Source organism: Homo sapiens, chromosome 20 (genome assembly GCF_000001405.40).
Source record: "Homo sapiens chromosome 20, GRCh38.p14 Primary Assembly".
Lineage (NCBI taxonomy): Eukaryota > Metazoa > Chordata > Mammalia > Primates > Hominidae > Homo > Homo sapiens.
The window spans coordinates 44,598,378-44,617,218 of record NC_000020.11 but is presented as its reverse complement, the minus strand read 5'-3'; the positions used below and the strand labels follow the sequence as shown (position 1 = coordinate 44,617,218).

At 47.8% G+C, this 18,841-nt stretch overlaps 1 protein-coding gene across 11 annotated transcripts in view, besides 6 other annotated features; it reads right to left on the bottom strand.

Moving 5' to 3' along the window:
* PKIG (cAMP-dependent protein kinase inhibitor gamma) overlaps positions 1-18,841 on the bottom strand; it is an 87,163-nt gene that overhangs the window by 1,819 nt on the left and 66,503 nt on the right. For 8 of the 11 annotated variants that reach the window (NM_181805.3, NM_181804.3, NM_007066.5 and 5 more), the window contains one exon: positions 2,512-2,685. In NM_181805.3, the coding sequence (NP_861521.1) occupies positions 2,512-2,662 (151 nt within the window). In that variant the 5' untranslated portion in view covers positions 2,663-2,685. Of the gene's footprint in view, positions 1-2,511; positions 2,686-18,328; positions 18,604-18,841 lie in introns of all 11 variants that reach the window. The other 3 variants (NM_001281444.2, XM_047439851.1, XM_047439852.1) reach the window with 1 other exon arrangement.
* Positions 1,340-1,469: an enhancer, noted in NCBI's record as "active region_17933". NCBI's record gives its function as "activates an Ori minimal core promoter by ATAC-STARR-seq in GM12878 lymphoblastoid cells {active_cell/tissue: GM12878}" and the evidence as "EXISTENCE:reporter gene assay evidence [ECO:0000049][PMID:35858748]".
* Positions 6,525-6,584: an enhancer, noted in NCBI's record as "active region_17932". NCBI's record gives its function as "activates an Ori minimal core promoter by ATAC-STARR-seq in GM12878 lymphoblastoid cells {active_cell/tissue: GM12878}" and the evidence as "EXISTENCE:reporter gene assay evidence [ECO:0000049][PMID:35858748]".
* Positions 6,615-6,714: an enhancer, noted in NCBI's record as "active region_17931". NCBI's record gives its function as "activates an Ori minimal core promoter by ATAC-STARR-seq in GM12878 lymphoblastoid cells {active_cell/tissue: GM12878}" and the evidence as "EXISTENCE:reporter gene assay evidence [ECO:0000049][PMID:35858748]".
* Positions 6,765-6,834: an enhancer, noted in NCBI's record as "active region_17930". NCBI's record gives its function as "activates an Ori minimal core promoter by ATAC-STARR-seq in GM12878 lymphoblastoid cells {active_cell/tissue: GM12878}" and the evidence as "EXISTENCE:reporter gene assay evidence [ECO:0000049][PMID:35858748]".
* Positions 7,592-8,166: an enhancer, noted in NCBI's record as "H3K27ac-H3K4me1 hESC enhancer chr20:43237694-43238268 (GRCh37/hg19 assembly coordinates)". NCBI's record gives its function as "activates a minimal SCP1, AML or CMV promoter by ChIP-STARR-seq in primed H9 embryonic stem cells {active_cell/tissue: H9 hESC(primed)}" and the evidence as "EXISTENCE:reporter gene assay evidence [ECO:0000049][PMID:30033119]".
* Positions 15,880-16,381: an enhancer, noted in NCBI's record as "H3K4me1 hESC enhancer chr20:43229479-43229980 (GRCh37/hg19 assembly coordinates)". NCBI's record gives its function as "activates a minimal SCP1, AML or CMV promoter by ChIP-STARR-seq in primed H9 embryonic stem cells {active_cell/tissue: H9 hESC(primed)}" and the evidence as "EXISTENCE:reporter gene assay evidence [ECO:0000049][PMID:30033119]".

Below are 18,841 nucleotides of genomic sequence, written 5' to 3'. Positions count from 1 at the left end.
TCAGGCTAAGCCCTTCACAGAACCAGGAGAATCACCACCCTATAGCAAGCTCCAGGGTCTGCAGATGGATGGGCACTTTCTCGTGCAATGCACACAGTAACATGGAGGTGTAACTAGGGTCATGATATGCATGAGAAAACCGAGGCCCAGCGAGGTGAGCTGATTTGCCTGGATCAAGGGTGGAGAGCCCTGCCTGCCACCAAGGCTAGTACCCCTTCTACCAAATTTAACCTCCTCCAATAAGCAGCATTCCTGAAGGTTTATAGAGGCCTGACATCAGCACTGCCTCACTGTGCCCCTGCGGCAAGCTAGGAAGTGGGTGGTAGCTCGGGACCCTATTCCGAGCCCGCTGCCTGGAAAGCCTGCTTTTATTCCCAGCGGGGTGGCGCCTGGAACTCTGTACTCCCCCTGCCTTGGGGAGTCGCTGGAGTGGGCGTGGCCCGCAGCCCCGCCTGTGAAACGGAACTGCTCCCTGCGGGCTTCCTGGAAGGCTCCTTGGCCAGTCACTCTTGCCTGGACGCCACCGTGAGTGTTTCCTTTCCTTCAGTGAGCACTGTTCTTTCCTCAGGCCCCCTTTTTAAATGTCAGTCACCCTGGCAGGTGAATGTCATGTAGCCAGAGGACCCATACTTTAGGGAATCTGAGTCAGGGAAAACAGGTGTTAGGAGAGCCTGGGCACATGGGCCAGCAGCTACAACTGCTGAGGGAGAGAGAGACAGAACAGAGCTCACCAGAGCTGAGGGTGAGGACACAGAAGCCTTGAGAGAGAGCCCAGGGCAGCGTGCCCAGTGTGGCAGCTGGACATGCTGGTCATTCAGTCGGTCAATGAACAGCCATTGACTCGGTACCTCCATCATGTGCCAAACACCACCAGGCACCGAGGGCACAAGACACAGAGCCTGTGCTGGAGAAGCTCAGTCTAGAGCAGGGCCATTATGCTCAGTGGGCTCATGGAGGCAGCAGGGAGAAGAGGTGCCTCCCCGGTCTGGGAGGGGTACTGCGGTCAGGGAAGGCTTCTCAGCTGAGCAGATGCCTGGGTCTCTAAGAATGAAGAGAACCCAGCCAGGCAAGGGGAGGGAGGGGAGAAGCAAACAGAGGTGCAGCGTGTGAAGGCCCACAGGGGCTTCTGAGCGATCAAAGTACTTGACTATGGCTGGCGAGAGGATGAGAGTTGATGCTGGAGAGGCGAGCAGGGTGAGCCTGTGGAGGTTCTGCCTGGGCCACGTGACAGAGGAGAATGAATAGATTATGGGACAGGGAAGGCTTTTGGGGTGGGGTTCCGTCGACAGGGTGCTGGGGGCTCTCTCTCAAGCCGGCCAGATTCTATGTTAACTCCCTGGGTGGCCCAGAGCAAGTCCTCCAACTTCTCTGGGCCTCAGTTTGTCCATCTGTAACATGAGAGGGCTGGGTCCAAGCCCCGGCAAAGTCTTCTCTGTTCTGTACTTTTGATTCACTTCTGGCCAGTGAGGGGCAAGAAGACTAGGGCTACCCAGGGAGGGGCAGGGCTGTGGCCCTCCGGACAGCCCACGGGGAGACAGTTGCAGCCTGATGGCTGTGCTGTGAGAAGCACACACGGCCTCTGTGGCGCTGTGAGAGCAGGAGGGAAAGGCCTCAGCCGTGCAGGGGTCAGGGAAGCTTCCCAAGGAAATTCCCAGGCTGACTGTGGACTTGAGCCAAGGGGTTCTCTGGGGGAATGGAGGGGGTGGGGGTGTTCCAGCCAGGACTTGGGTGGGTGGATGCTGTTTCCTTTTGTCATTCGGTCTGTGGTTACCAAGCACCTGCTGTGTGCCAAACAGAATGCAAGGCCTCTGCCCTCCCGGCGCTCACATTTAGACCCCTGAGACCTTGTCAGAGAGTGATGAGGGTCATGTGATTGGGGAAGGCTGATCTAGCACTCAGAGAAGGCCCCTTGGAGAGGCTTGACTGAGAAACAGACCAAAGGTAGATGTAGCTGGAGGGTGTCAGGGAGAGGAGTGGCACCGGGTGAGACTTGGGCAGGGCCCGGCCTACAGCAGGACTGCCCCAGGGCAATGTGACAAGCTTAGCTTCACTCAGTGAAGCCACTGGGGGATTTTTTTTTTTTGGCAGAAGCATGATGGACAGAATGGTTTAAATGGGGTCTGCTGGCTGCTGCATAGAGCTGAACAGGAAGGGCGGAGATGGGTGTAGGGAGCCCAGGGAAGCCGGCCGCTAAAGTCAGCCAGGTGAGAGCTGTGAGTGGCCAGAGCCAGGTATAGCTGTGGGGATAGCGAGAAGTGGAGGGACCTGGGCTAGGGGGCAGGGGGACAGGAAGAGTCCCGGATGCCTGTCCAGAGGAGTCCTTGGGGCCTGAGACTCAAACATCTTCCAACCTAGAGATTGCTGGACTCTGCCACTGACCATGGGGCAGGCCTGACTTAAATGTGGTTTCTTCTCTAAGAAAGTATGGGCAGTCTAGGACTTGGAGGCTAGCCCGGGGCCCGGCAGAGGGCCTCTGGCATGCAGTAGTGCCAAGGACCTGCTGGCTCTAACCTGCCCCCTCGAGTGCCAGCTCGCCCATGTCTCCAGCCAGCTTCCTCACGCTCACAGCCTCTGAGTCTCCCTGGATGTCAGGGACCGCATTCCGACGGCCTGTCCGGTCACAGGAGATGAAGTCCGAGTAGGAGGACTCGACCTCCATCATGCCTGTCGCATCGCTCCTCAGGCCTGTGGGGACAGAAGGCAAGGGGGCAGAGGTAAGTCCAGATGCATTCTGCAGAGAGGACAGCTCCAGTTCCCCAGCACAGTGGCTTCTGTCAAAATGACAGTTATTGCCTCTTATTGAAAACAAAGCAAAAAGCACAGAAAAGTACAAAGAACAAAACAAGTCACTCATAATTCCACACCCAGACAACCACCATCAACATTTTAAAGAACATGGGCTCAGACTTTTCTTTAAATAAAATTATTGACAAACATGTACACACATTTATTAATACCATGCGCCAGGCACTGGCACAGATACCACCATGAACAAACTGGCCATGGTCCCTGGCCTCACAGAGCTTACCATCTACTACAGGTGGCATAAAGTCACCTCGTACCTAAGTCATGGCCTTGGTGCTCAAGGCTTCAAGGGAGAATGCAGGGTGCTGGAGTGATCACTGGGACCTGATCAAGGCTGGGGGTCACAAAGTGACATTTTAGCTGAGAACCAAGGAGGACGAGGCGTCATGCAGATGAAGAGTGAGGGGAAGAGCACTACAGAGAGGGGAACAGCATGTGTGAAGGCTCTGAGGGAGGGAGGCATGAGGGCTTGGAAGGACAGAAAGAGCCAGCAGGCGGGAGCATGGCAGAAGAGGGACAATGACACCAAGGACACTGCTGAGGTAGGCAGGAGCCAGACCACATCTGGAACTTGGTTCCTGAGGGGCTTTAGGCAAGGCCATGAAGTAGCAGCCGTGCATTTTCAAAGGTGACTGTGGCGGCCGGGCACAGCAGTGCTGGGAAGGGGCAAGTTAGGAGGCTCCTGTGAAGTTCAGGTGCCAAGATGGTGGGTGGAGGAGGGGGGCAGTGGGAAGGATTCTAGATATAACTTGGAAATCGAACCAACAAGAAGTAGTGTTGGATTGACAGGTAATTTAGGTTTCTGGTGTGAATAAGTAGGTGGACAGAAGTGTGGTTTGCTGACATATGGAAGAACAAAGGAGGAATATTTGAGGGCATAAAGTCCTGTTTGGCCTATTCGGTAACTTTGAGATGCCTGTGAGCCCTCCAAGGGGAGAGGTAGGCTAGGTACATGGAACTAGGAGGCTGGAGCTCAGAAGAGAGGTGGAGTGGGGAGGAAAGATATGAAATTAGTAGTTCTAGATCAAGACCATCCTGGCTAACACAGTGAAATCCCATCTCTACTAAAAATACAAAAAAATTAGCCGGGCGTGGTGGCGGGCGCCTGTAGTTCCAGCTACTCAGGAGGCTGAGGCAGGAGAATGGCATGAACCCGGGAGGCAGAACTTGCAGTGAGCCGAGATTGTGCCACTGCACTCCAGCCTGGGCGACAAAGCGAGACTCCATCTCGAAAAAAAGAAAAAATAAATTAGTAGTTCTTACTACAGAGACAGCAGTTAACAGCCCTGGTGCTTGGTAACACAGTCTAGAGAAAGGAGAGAAGAGTGCCACATATATAAAGAAGAGCCACATACATTTAGAAATGATTTGGGACCATACCTTATGTTGTGTTTTGTAGCCTACTCTTTGGGACGCTTTAGAACATGTCACTAAGTCTCCCTCCACATGAATTTTGTGCCAGCATGCTTGGATGGGCCATGATTTACTCTAGGATGAGGCCTCCAGAAATGAACACAGAGGTACTTCCCTGTTTTCTACCGCCACACACAGCACTGGGACTTTATGAAAGTCTCTGTGCCCATCCCTAATTGTTTCCTGAGAGTATATCCCTAGAAGTAGAACTGCTGGGCTAAAGGGAAGGGTGAAATAATTTTTAGATTTTTGACACATTTCCCAGTTGCCTTCCCAAATAGCACAGTGGTATTCATGATGACAAAAAATTGGCAGAAAGACTTATAAAGTCAGTGCTGTTTTTATTTATATTCCCACCAGTAGCACACAAGATTGTCCATTTATGTACTCTTGGCAACAAGAAGTACTGCTACTATATTAACAAAAGGTTAATTTGCGAAGGGGATACTAGTATCTCTCATTGAGCACCTATGGTTTTCTGAAGGCAATTAGATAGCAGTCATTGCATGGACTCTGGCTACCTCGCAGACCTGAATTAGTAAGTGGGAGGGGTGGTCTAAGCACTGGCCTGACTTTAGGAGTTCATAGTCCAGTGGGGTGGGCCCATGGGCCCACCCAGCAAATCCTAGTTCTAGACCCACTCAGGCAAATGCCCAATGTTTTCTCTAGTGTGAGGATGTTTACTGCACCTGGTCAGTAATAGCAGCCTATAGGAAACCACCCAAATGTCCACCAGGAGGTTAGGCATCGCGTGAATTATGAAGTAGTCATAAAAAAGAAATGTGCCATACAGCCACTATGGAAAACAGTATGGAGGGTTCCTGAGAAAATTAAAAACAGTACCATATGACCCAACAATCCCACTACTAGGTATATATCCAAAGAACTGACATTGGTATGTCAAGAAGACATCTGACCTCCTATGTTTACTGCAGCACTATTTATAATAGCCAAGATATGGAATCAACCCAAATGTCCAACATGATTGAATGGATACAGAAAATGTATATATACACAAAGGAATACTATTCAGCCATAAAAAAGAATGAAATCTTGTTATTTGGGACAAAACGGATAAACCTGGAGGACATAATGTTAAGTGAAATAAGCCAGACACAGAAACACAAATACTGCATGATTTTACGCATACATGGAATCTTAAAAAAAAAAAAATTTGTTATCGGCTAGGCACAGTGGCTCACACCTGTAATCCCAGTACTTTGGGAGGCCGAGGCGGGTGGATCACTAGGTCAGGAGATCGAGACCATCCTGGCCAACATGGTGAAACCCCCTCTCTACTAAAAAAACAAACAAAAATTAGCCAGGCGTGGTGGCAGGCGCCTGTAGTCCCAGCTACTCAGGAGGCTGAGGCAGGAGAATGGCGTGAACCCAGGAGGCGGAGCTTGCAGTGAGCCAAGATCATGACACTGCACTCTAGCCTAGGTGACAGAGCAAAACTCTGTCAAAAAAAAAAAAAAAAGTTGATATAGAAGGAGAGAATACAACAGTGGTTACCAGAGACTGGGGAGGGGAGAGGAGAGGAAAGGATGGAAAGCTGGTCAACGGGTACATAGTTACAATTAGATAGGAGCAGTAAGTTCCTGTTCTATTGTACAGTATGGTGATGGTTAACAATAAGGCATTCTAGGCCGGGTGCGGTGGCTCATGCCTATAATCCCAGCACTTTGGGAGGCCGAGGCGGGTAGTTCACCTGAGGTCAGAAGTTCGAGACTGGGCTGGCCAACATCGTGAAACGTCGCCTCTACTAAAAATACAAAATTAGTCGGGTGTGGTAGCACACGCCTGTAGTCTCAGTTACTCTGGAGGCTGAGACAGGAGAATCTCTTGAACCCATGAGGCGGAGACTGCCGTGAGCTGAGATCACGCCACTGCACTCCACCCTGGGCAAGACAGAGCGAGACTCCGTCTCAAAAAAAAAAAAAAAAAAGGCATTCTATATTACAAAATAACTACAGAAGCTTTTGAATATTCTCATCACAAAGAAATAAATGCATGAGATGATGGATATGCTAACTGCCCTGATCTGATTATTATACAACATATATGTATCAAAACATCAAGTTGCACCCCACAAATATATACAATGACATGTCAGTAAAAAAAAAATAATAAAGAAATGTGCCAGATGGGCCTGTACTGACATAGGACAATGTCTGAGATAAACTGGCAACTGAAAAACAGAGGTTGCAAAACAACACCTAAAATAAAACCCAGTTCCTGTGGGGAAAGATAGCAGACATATGAAAAAAAAATCTGAAAAAACATCTATCAACCCTGTCAACTGTGGTTCTTTGTGATTAAGGGGAACTTTCGTTTTCTAAGTCTATATTTTTTCAATGGTTGAAGTTTTATAAACCCAAATTATTGTGCAATGCTTTTAGAAGGTAGCTGACATTGGCAGAAGTGCCCAGAAGGCACCCAGGGTGGGGTTGAGCCAGTAAGTGCTGCAGGTGTGTGTGTGTGTGTGTGTGTGTGTGTGAGAGAGAGAGAGAGAAGAGAGAGAGAGAGAGAGAGAGAAAGAGAGAGACAGAGAAGAGGATCAGTATGGAGGGCAAGGCCCACATCCCCCCACAACACCTAGCTCAGAAGAAACACCTAAAGAATGAATTAGGGGCCCTCAAAGATCAGACAGGTGAGACAGGGAGGTGTCCTATGGTAGAAAGAGCAAAGAATGAGACACGTGACCTTAAACCCAAGCTCTGCCACCTAACCCTGGGCAAGACCCTGCCTTTCTTGGGGCCTTCATTTCCCCTGTGTAAAATAGAGGAGGGCCAGGACACTGTCCACGGCAATTCCCCCCGGCTACAGCAGATGGCGCACCCTGCCTATCTTCCTAGCAGCCTTGCGCGCTGCCCTAGTCACGCTCTGGCTCCTCCTTGGCTAAAAGAATTCCCGGAAGTTCCAGAGGTGGCTCCTTCTACAGGTCACGGAGGTTCACTCCTGCGCTCTGCCTCTGGGGAAACCGCTCAATGCTTCAGGACAGGAAAATGGCTTATGATAATAACAGTAATAACAGAGGATAAAAATGATGCTGACAATTCCTACGATAAGGAAAGGTACCATGGCCCAGGTGCCTGTGTTTTCATACACATCACGCACTCAGTGGCCACAGCTGCCCTCTGAGGTGAGTGAGGCCGGTTTACAGCCACGGCTCAGAAGGGCCTCAGCCCCACCTGAAACCCGCTGCTCTGGAAAATGACAAACCCCGAGCAGGCCACACTGGCTCCCGGAGCCTCCGAGTCCTCGGCTCTTCCTCAGTTAGACTGTCAGCTCCACGGGAACAGGAATTTGGTCTGGATTTTTCCCATGTCCAGCTGAAACCTAATCCTGGCAGCTGAGCCAACAGGTTCTGGCCGCTGCATTCCCTGATTCTCATCCAGCACCTGGTAAAGAGCAGGCGCTCCATGCACACTCGCTGGATTTCACTCTCGGGCCTCTGAAGGAGAGGGAGTTTGTGTCTATCCCTCTTCTCCCCTGCTGCCCGCCTGTCCTCTGTGGGGAGGAGCCGCAGTTCCTTCTTGGGGCTGTTGAGAAGGGCCTCCGTGCACCGTGGAGTGCTGTGCAGGTGTTCTTGTCCTAGGACCTGACACCATGGGATGGAATTACAGGCTCTATCTGAAAGGCCAGCTTCATGCTGGAATGTCTCCTGGGGCTTTGATCTCACAATGCCATCTGATGTTACAGGCTGCCCAGTGCAGGCCACTGGCCCTCGGGACACAGAGACAGCAAATGCCACACTCAAAGACCAATCCTAGAAAACATCAGCTGGGCCAACATGCTCTGGCTACCATATCCCCTCAGGGAACAGCAATTCCAAAGACGGCTCTGGGGAGCTCTCCAATCGAAAGCAGAAACACATCGTTTTATTTTTCTCCCATATTTATATTCGTCACTCACCCTCTCATCTTTAGAGTCAACAGCAAATGGGGAAATAAAGAATCCTCAGAGTTGGAAATCCTGTCAGAAAATGGTCATTCTCAAACCCTGTTAATGAGACTGTAAACTTCCAAGACCTCCTTGGGCAGTGACTTGACAGTGTGTATCCAGAAACCTCAACTTTTTCCATATCTTTTAGCTACTAAATCAGTTTATAATAATCTATTCTAAGAAAATAATCCAAGATCTACATGAAGATAAAATGTACAAAGATGTTCCTCATAGTATTTTTTTTTTTTTTTTTGAGACAGGGTCTCGCTGTGTCACACAGGCTGGAGTGCAGTGGTACAATCATGGCTCACTGTAGCCTCAACTTCCTGGGCTCAAGCAATCCTGTTGCCTCAGCCTCCTGAGTAGCTGGGACTATTCCATGTCTGGCTCATTTTTTTTCAGGGATGGGAATCTCATTATGTTAACCAAGGTGGTCTCAAACTCGTGGTCTCAAACTCCTGGGCTCAAGTGATCCTCCTGCCTCGGACTTCCAAAGTGTTGGGATTACAGGCCTAAGCCACTGCGCCTGGCCCACAGTATTATTTATAATAGCAGGAAACTAAAGACACCAAAATGAGTTCCTAAATGGATGTGTCACATGTCCTAAACGGACAATGGAGAATTATTAATATATACATACTTAACTAATTTGTATCTAAATGAAATACCATTCAGGCATTAAAATGATGTTTGTGAATATTTTTTAAAGAAATGGCAAAATGTTCACATATAGTTAAATGAAAAAGAATACCAGTGATATAATTACATACATTAATATTTTTATAAGTAATTTTAAAATCTGTTATATTTCCTTTTTATAGTGAACACATTCACTTCATCTTAAAATTACTTAATTTTAGATTATGTGTGCATGTGGTCTAAAACTCAAAAGGTCCAAAAGGACAGAGATAAGAGCTTAGTCTCCCTTCCCATCCGATCCAGACACCCTCCCCAAGGCAAGCACGTTTTGGTGTCCTTCCAGACAAAATTTATGCAATATATATGTTCCCCCTTTTTCTCCTTCCCTTCCTTTTTCCTTTATTTAAAACAAAATTTTGGCCGGGCATGGTGGCTCATGCCTGTAATCCCAGAACTTTGGGAGGCCGAGGCGGCGGGGGGTGGGTGTGGATCACGAGGTCAAGAGATCGAGACCATCCTGGCCAACATGGCGAAACCCCGTCTCTACTAAAAATGCAAAAAATTAGCTGGGCGTGGTAGTGGGCGCCTGTAGTCCCAGCTACTCGGGAGGCTGAGGCAGGAGAATGGCGTGAACCCAGGAGGTGGAGCTTGCAGTGAGCCGAGATCGTGCCACTGCACTCCAGCCTGGGTGACAGAGTGAGACTCCGTCTCAAAAAAAAAAAAAAAAATTTATTTTCCATCTTGCCTTTTTTTCATTTAAAAATGTGTCTTGGCTTTGGGAGGCTGAGGCGGGTGGATCACCTGAGGTCAGGAGTTCAAGACTAGCCTGGCCAACATGGTGAAACCCCATCTCTACTAAAAATACAAAAATTAGCTGGGTGTGGTGGTGCACGCCTGTAGTCCCAGCTACTCAGGAGGCTGAGGCAGGAGAATTGCTCGAACCCGAGAGGCAGAGGCTGCAGTGAGCCGGGATTGCGCCACTGCACTCCAGCCTGGGTGACAGTGAGACTCTATTTCAAAAAAAAAAAAAAAAAAATATATATATATATATATACACACACACACACATATACACACACAAACACACACACACACACACCTTGGAAACAACTGTAGATCACTCTGAAGCCACTGCAGCACTGATTACATCAACACACTGAAAACAAACCCAAAGTAATAACTAAATTGTTCCTTTTATTGTCTGCATGATACTCTGTTGTCTCACTGTTGTAGATTGATTTAATTACTTCCCTGTTGATGGACCTGAGGATTGTTTCTATAAAAGTGGAATTGCCACCTCAAAGGATCTGTGACTTTTTTATTATAACAGGTATTGCCAACTTCTCCCCACAGAAGTTAGTTCCTGTCTCTCAGTCCGTTTTGTGCTGCTACAACAAAATATCTGAGTCTCAGTAATTTCTAAAGAACAGAAATTTATTTCACACAGTTCTGGAGGCTGGGAAGTCCAAGATCAAGGCGCCAGCCTGTGGTGAGGCCTGCTCTCTGCTTCCAAGAGGGCACCTTGAACACTGTGTTCTCACAGAGCAAATGGCAGAAAGGCAAAAAGGGGCAAACTCACTCCCTCAAGCCCATTTATTTATTTATTTGATGGAGTCTTGTTCTGTCGCCCATGCTGGAATGCAGTGGCATGGTCTCGGCTCACTGCAACCTCCTCCTCCCAGATTCAAGTGATTTTCCTGCCTCAGCCTCCCAAGTAGCTGGGCTTACAGGTGTGCACCACCACGCCCAGCTAATTTTTATATTTTTGGGAGAGATGAGGTTTCACCATGTTGGCCAGGCTGGTCTTGAACTCCTGACCTCGGGTGATCCAGCCACCTCAGCCTCCCAAAGTGCTGAGATTACAAGCGTGAGCCACCATGCCTGGCCTCAAGCCCTTTTATAAAAGGTGCCTAATCCCATTCACAAGGAAGGAGCCCTCATGACCTAATCACCTCTTAAAGGCCCTACCTCTTAATATTATCACATTGGTATTTTGGAGGGAACACATTCAAACCATAGCAATCCCCAGTAGGTATATCAGATGAGCACTTTCCTTCACCACAGTCTTCTTAATGCTGTTTTGTTCCTAATCTAAAAGGTGGTTTTAAAACCAGTGCCTGATTGTTTTAGTTCCTACTGCTCCTAGGAGTGAACCTGAGCATCTTCCCACTTGCATCTCCTTTTCTGTTTACTGTTTCTTCAAATTCTTTTGCCCACTTCTAATGGATTTTAGGTCTTTTTCTTATTGATTTGTAGGAGTTCTTAATATATTAAGGCAATTAGTCTTTTGTCTAATTAGGAGTTACTAGTATTTTTTACTTGTCATTTGTACTTTGACTTTATTTTTCGGCACTTCTCCCCACATACATATTTTTATATTCATTAGTAAAATTGATCTTTATTTTATTTTATGGTTTCTGGGCTTTGTAACATAATTAGAAATGTCTTCCCCACTCTAAGATTAGTAAAGAAATCCCTTTGTTTATTTCTGGTACTTTGTTTTTTGAGACAGGGTCTGGAGTCACCCAGGCTGGAGTGTAGCGGTGCCAGCCTAGCTCACAGCAACCTTGAACTCCTGGGCTCAAGAGATCCTCCTAGCTTAGCTTCCTGAGAAGCTGGGACTACAGGTGCATGCTAATGTGCCCAGCTAATTCTTTTTTTTTTAAGAGATGGGGTCTCACTATGTTGCCCAGGCTGGTTTTGAACTCCTGGGCTCAAGTGATACTCCTGCCTGAGCCTCCCAAACTGCTGGGATTACAGGTGTGAGCCACCACGCCTGGCCTCTCTAGTACTTTTATGGCTTCCCTTTTCACATTTAAATCTTTGATCTAGAATTTATCTGTAATAAGGTATGAATTAGCGAGCCACCTTAATTTTTTCTACCTATCTCAAATCATTTGTGGAGTAATCCATCATTTCCTCATTGATGTAAAAAGCTATCATTGTTACATACAAAACTGTGTATTGGGGTCTGTTTCTGAATCTTTTTTTTTTTTTTTTTTTTTTTGAGACGGAGTCTCACTCTGTCGCCCAGGCTGGAGTGCAGTGGTGCAATCTGGACTCACTGCAAGCTCCGCCTCCTGGGTTCACGCCATTCTCCTGCCTCAGCCTCCTGAGTAGCTGGGACTCAGGCGCCTGCTACCACACCCGGCTAATTTTTTGTATTTTGTTCAGTAGAGACGGGGTTTCACCGTGTCAGCCAGGATGGTCTCGATCTCCTGGCCTCGTGATCCGCCCGTCTCGGCCTCCCAAAGTGCTGGGATTACAGGCGTGAGCCACCGCACCTGGCCTGTTTCTGAATCTTTTAATCTCTCCAGCTGATCTGTCTACTCATATACTAGTATCATGTTGTAGGATGGTTTCCTTCTCATAGCTCAAATCTTTTTTGACTTTAGATTTTTTTTTTCTGGCTGTTTTTGCTGATCTATGTTTTCTTATAAACTTAATAGTCATTTAACTTGTCCCCCAATTTATCTTGTATTTATCAGGACTGCATTAAATATATATAGTAATATCTGGTACCTGAATGTAGATAGAAATCACATTTTTATGATATTGAGTCTTCTTTCTTTCACAATTCCTCTCCCACAAGGTCAGGCACTCAGACTTCCCTTTTGCTCCTCTGTGTACTCCAAAGGGCTGGCCCAGCTGCCTGGCATATGCTGGTGCTTGACTCTTACTTACGGAATGAATGATGAATTATTGCATGAGTTCTACTTCTGATATGCAAGGTAAGTGCCTTCCACACATTCTCTCATGTAACCCTAAACACAACGAGTAGGCACGATTCTAATCCTCATTTTAGAAATGAGGAAACTAAGGCTCAGGCAGTAAAGCAACTGCCTTCAACTTCTCAGAATGCTCTTTTACATTCTCCTAGTCCAACACCTTGACTACTTGTATATCTCCTTAATTCCATCCTTTACTCTCTTCTAATGTTTCTCTAATTGTTCTACACGTCTCGTTCTCTCTCATGACATCATCTTCCATTCATTTCAATGTCGATCCCCTCATTGCTGAGCTGCAGACATCTAGATGAATCCTCCCGGAGGATATCAACAAAATTATGCTCTCCCTCCTCCAGGACTCTCTCTCATTCATTCCCTTAGTCAGGAGCCACCTCCACAATCAATTATGCAAGTCAAAAACCTATTACCCGTAACTCATGCCTGACTTCTTCCTCTCTTTAAGAAGGCATCCTGCACCTTAAAGCTCAATTACCCAGGTTCAATTATTTTCTCTCTTCAGGTCCATCTTCCCATTTTCTCCATGCAGTAATCATGGCCTCAGTTACGCTTCATCATCTCTATCCAGTCTACTACAACCTTCCCCAACTGGCTTTTCTGCCCCCAGTCTTCTCACTTATTCCTCACCACCCCCACCCCCAATTCATCCTCAAGCCCTCTGTCCTCTACTTCAAGAGGGACATTCCCCAACATCAGTTGGCTCATCCTCATGCTCAGTTCAGAAACCTTCAATGATTAAAAAGAATCAGGCCAATCCATTTATGTATATTGACACGGAAGGATGTTCTCAATATATGATTACTAATATGCCCTAACACATGGGTCTACAGTCTTTTCTCTCCTGAGTTCTAAACCTTTACTTCCAACAGCCCATGACCTATCTCCAGCAGGGAGACAGCTTTGATTCATTCAGGACCATCACAGGGCAAATACCTGTTCAATTAATGAAAAGTTGTTGTAGAATCTAACCGAAAGACATCCCAGAGCTCATCTAGACAAGCCTCTCATCAACAGCTGCGGAAACGGAGGCTCAGAAAGGGCAAGGCACTTGCCCAGGGTTCTTGATCTAGCGGTCCTAACTCCCGGTCCAGAGCTCTTTTCCCCACATCACACTGCCCCCTTGGGAGTCCCTGATGACATTACAAATCTCTGAGGGGAATGGGTGGCAGGGTAGAAGGCATCTAGGGTGCTCGTCCAGCCCAGCTTTGTTGTTTACCAGCTGTGGGCCGTGCACAACTCCCCTCACCTCAGCAAAGCGGGGCTAACAGTCACACCCTGCAGTTCAGGGGGCTGTTATGAAGATTCAATAAGATGGTGATGCAAAAAGTGTAGTAAGTGATGGGGAATGTAAGTGGAATGCAATTAATAAATGATTAGGATGGTTCATTTGGGGGCTGAGTTAGTAAAACCTGCCTTTGGACATTTCATTCAGCTCCTTTGTTTTTACTCTGTTTAACGGTGCTACAGAAGATTAAAACTTCCTTCTTTGGTGCTTTATGGTGTTGTGTGGTAAGAATATAAATTCCCCAGAAGTGGTGACCCTGGCTGGTGTGTTTACTGTTACGTCCAGAAGGCCCTGCACATACTTGAAGCTCAATGAATAGCTGATGAACAAGTGAATAATAGAAGATGTTCTAGATTACAGGGAAAGAAGAGCAAAGAATGTGCGGCCCTGCATCATAACAGTGGCTGAAGATCTGGTTCAATACCCGCGCAATAGGGTGACCCTTGATGAGTCCCCTTCTCTCTCAGCTTCCTTTCCCACCATCTAAATAATGAAGTTTGAAATATGATCTCCAAGTCTTCCAGTCTTTTTTTTTTTTTTTTGAGATGGAGTCTTACTCTGTCGCCCAGGTTGGAGTGCAGTGGCATGATCTCTGCTCACTGCAACCTCCACCTCCCCGGTTCAAGTGCTTTTCCTGCCTCAGCCTCCCAAGTAGCTGGGATTACAGGCATGAACCAACATACCCGGCTAATTTTTTTTTTTTTGTATTTTTAATAGAGATGGGGTTTCACCATGTTGGCCAGGTTAATCTTGAACTCCTGACCTCAAGTGATCCACCTGCCTCGGCCTCCCAAAGTGCTGGGATTACAGGCATGAGCCACCGCACCTGGCCTCCAAGTCTTCCAGTCTTGATATTTCATTTATTCATTCAATGTACTGAGCAACTTCTACATGCCAGGCACTGTGCCGGGCATAGGGTATATACTGGAAACTAAAAAAGATATTTACAATGTGTAAAGAGAAAAAGGCACTGCACAAGTAAATGAATCTTATCACAGATTATGGTATGTGCTATGGGAGAAGAGGAGAGGGTTCTCTGCATGTGGATCATGCAGTTAATGGCTGTATGATCAGGAAAGGCCTCTCTGAGGAGGTGGTTTTTGCTGAAATCTACAGAAAAGTTGGATAGAGAGGGACCCAGAGAGCCAACAGGCAATTTGAGTCTAAAAACAATCTAGAATCTTCTAGCTCAGCCTGAGCCCTACAGGGTGCTAAAGAATGAAGCTCTTTCTTTTCCTCATCCTCAGGAGGTTTTGGTATCTTGTGGGATCTGGATGATTGCCAGACATGTGATTGACCTTGAATGCCCAGGACAAAGGGTGAAGCCCTTATACTCTGTCCCCAGGCCTTTTGGGGCCCTGGGGTCAGAGGTTACAGTGCCTGCAGGTGCCTGCTCTGGGCATTTCCCCACAGGAAGCCACTTCTCCCGTGGGTTTCTAATACTCCCCCCAGCTTTGTAAACTGAAGAGGCCCCAGGCTCTGCCAAGAGCTACATGGTCTGTTCCAAGTCTGCAGCTATTAGTCCTCATTGCTCAGGCAGATTCCATTACAAGCTCCAAATTGTTTTCCAAATATACTAGAAAGGTCATTTCCTGTTTTTTTTTCTTTTTCAAAAATTCAGTATTTGCAGAAACCATACAAAAAGCAAACAGACTTTTGCAGAAGACATGAAGCACAGAAGTGGGACCTGGTCTTATGGGAGAAGTTTTATCAGGGGTGGGCAAAATGCTCTCTAAGGCTTCTCTGAGGGACGAAAGGGCCGTGGAAACAGAAATGCCAGGGCCTACTGAACAGGCATTCATCAAATTTCAAGGGTAGCGGCTTCTCTCTGTGATAGAAAGCCAGAAAAGAGAGGCACTGAGGCCAACAGAAAACTCAGAGCCCCAAAATGAGAATATTCCAAGAACCTGGGAAAAGGGAGGGCTGCCGGTTCTATCCATGTGTGGCCTGCCTGGGGCTGGCTGCAAAGCCCTACCCAGCGCCTTGGGGCACATCCAGCACAAGGTCACCAGAGAGGAGCCTGTCGCCTGCCTGGGCAGTGCCTGTTGCCATTCAAAGAGTGGCCCTGGGTGAGGCTTTGTTTGGAGGCAGAGAGGCCGGGCCTTGGCCTCTGCACCTGCCAGGCCTAGACCCAAGCAGGCCTGGATGCAGGCAGTGATAGGAAGGGAAGGTCAGGGTGCTCAAGTCAGACAAGGTCCTGAGTGACTTCTACGGTGCCTATCCCCAGGGACACCTTTCTGTCCTCCTCTTCCAACTCATTTCTTCCCGGACCATTCTCTTCATGGGACTTCCAGACACCACACCCTTTGGGCCTCCCTCCAACCAGTCTGCACAGGCACCTGCTACTGCCGGGACCTTTGTGTTAGGACGCCAGTCTCTTCTGTTTGCTCCCGAGGGGCTCTTATCCTTTCCCGAAATAATCTATGTTGGTGACCTTCAAAGAGCTGCAACCCTCTCTTAAGAGTTCTAGATTTCTGACTCAGCCTATTGAGCGTGTCATTTGGCTATCCCACAGCACTGCAAGCTTCAGACGTCAAGTCACCAGCCTGCTCGCCACGGCCTTCCCAACTGAGCAAGGGCACCACCATCTGCCCAGCTGGAAACCCAGGACCATCCCTGACCTCGCTTCTTCTTCACCACCCATGGACAATTCTTTACCCAGTCCTGTCATTTCTTCTTCTTTTTTTTTTTAATGTTTTTGTAGAGACAGGGTCTTACGATGCTGCCCAGCCTAGTCTTAAATTCCTGGCCTCAAGCAATCCTCCCACCTTGGCCTCCCAAAGAGCTGGGATTACAGGCATGAGCAACAGTGCCCAGCCTGGTCCTTTTGTTTCTACCTGCAAAACAGAGCTTGAATCTGCTGACCTCTCTCCTCCACATGCACCACCCAGGCTCCGGAATGTCTCACCAGGACTCTGAGCAGAGACCCTGACCAGAGTCCTGTGTCTCTCTCACCCCTAGCCCAGGGTCTATTTTTTATATGGCAGGCAGGGTAACGTTCTCAAAATGGAAATTGGATCACTGGAATTTCCCTGCTTCGTTCAACTTCTGATGCTTTTCTATTTCACATCTAGTGAAATCCACTCTCCTGATGCCAGTCCCTGAAGCCCTGCATTGACCTGGCCCTGCCTGCCTCTGCAGATGAGCCTTTGTCTCATTTCTACTCTCTTCTTGGTCCATTTTGCTCTGGTCACACTGGGCCTCTCTTTAAATCCTCAAACCTCATTTAATTCCTGACCTCAAAGCCTTTACTAGACTATTTCCTCTGTGTACAACATTCTCTGTAACCCTGCTCCCTATAGAGCCTCCTAAGTGGATAAATGGATTCCTGGCCTTGGTTTTTCAAATGTTCTTGCTCTAGGACCTGACATGGGGCTCCTGTAGGGCACAAAGCCTCCTGAGTTCCTCTGCCCCCAACTATTGCATGTCAGGAAAGCCCTGGCAGAGCTGCCCGGAGGGTAATGTGGTGTGGTGGATGCCACAAGGACTTCAGAGTCTCAGCTGCTGTCCCTACAGTGGCACATGATGCTGGGCACCTCACCTAACTGCAGACACCCCTTCTATAAAATGGGAGGGCTCACACTTGTCTTAAAAAGTGGCTGTGGGGATTAATTGGAGCCAACAGTTATACAGTTTTTTTGTTTTTTGTTTTTTGTTTTTTTGAGACAGAATCTCGCTCTGTGACTAGGCTGGAGTGCAGCGGCGCGATCTTGGCTCACTGCAACCTCTGCCTCCCAGGTTCAAGCGATTCTCCTGCCTCAGCCTCCCAAGTAGCTGGGACTATAGGTGTGCGCCACCATGCCCAGCTAATTTTTGTACTTTTAGTAGAGACAGGGTTTCACCATGTTGGCCAGGATGGTCTCGATCTCTTGACCTTGTGATCCGCCCGCCTCAGCCTCCTAAAGTGCTGGGACTGCAGGCTTGAGCCACGGTGCCTGGCCTGTTACACAGTTCTTTCTTACTGCATGCCAGACTGTGCTAAGCATCTTACAAGCATTTAATTTTATAGCAACTCTATGACAGAAAGTATCATTATCCCATAGTACAAAAGAGGCAGCTGAAACTCAGCAAGGTTAGGGAGCTTGGAGCCAGATGGAGCCTGTGCTATTAGGCTATAAAGCAGGGGAGTGAATTAGTATTATGCCTGGCATGTAGTATGGATTTACTGAAAAGTACCCATTCCCTTTTCTGACCTTCTTTTTCCCCTGCCCCCAGCTTCATAATAAGGCATTTCTTAAGGAAGGGCAAGAAAGTAAGCAAGTCCCTGGAAAACATAGTACAAGGCTGTCTAAAACATACACCAGATGCATTTTACCCATGCTTAAGCAACATCCTGTTTTGGATATTCAGCTGGATACAAACCTTCAGAATCTTTTCAGTGATGTTGGGTTGACTCTCTTGATTCTACCACCACATTCTACTCTTTGGTATCTAACTTCACAGCAAGAGTAAAAATAATTATTTTGGGGTATGAATTTTTTAAAACTCTTACCTCCTCAGCAGCTATATCCTACTGGCAGGGCGGTGTTACTACTTCACACAGGGCCAGGGCTAGGGACTGGAATTGTGACACAAACTCTCTTCAACCCATGGAAGTCTGTGCTTCCATGGAGGTCTCTGGAAAGCTGCGGAACAGTCCAGCTGCATCACTGCTTGGTGGCCGGGCATGCTGGGTCCTCCCCAGGCCTCCTGCTGTGTCTGTATTATCAAACTTGCTGAGGCTCAGCTACACAGCAAGGTTCCCAGAGAGTGGCAGTCTCTATCTTACTGTGAGGGGACAGGAAGGAAGGGAAAGTGAGATCACTTCCTGGCAGGCCTGCCAAAGGCCTAGGGGCTGGGTCACACTCCAGGTCTGCCCATGCCAGGCTGGGCACCTCTGGACAAGGCTCTTCCCCTCAAACCTCGGGAGTCTCAAGTGTGGAATGAAGGGGGAAACTGGGTATCTCTGTGGTGGTTCTGAAACATGTCTGCAAATTATCTGACATTCCTCCTCTCGGGAGGTAGA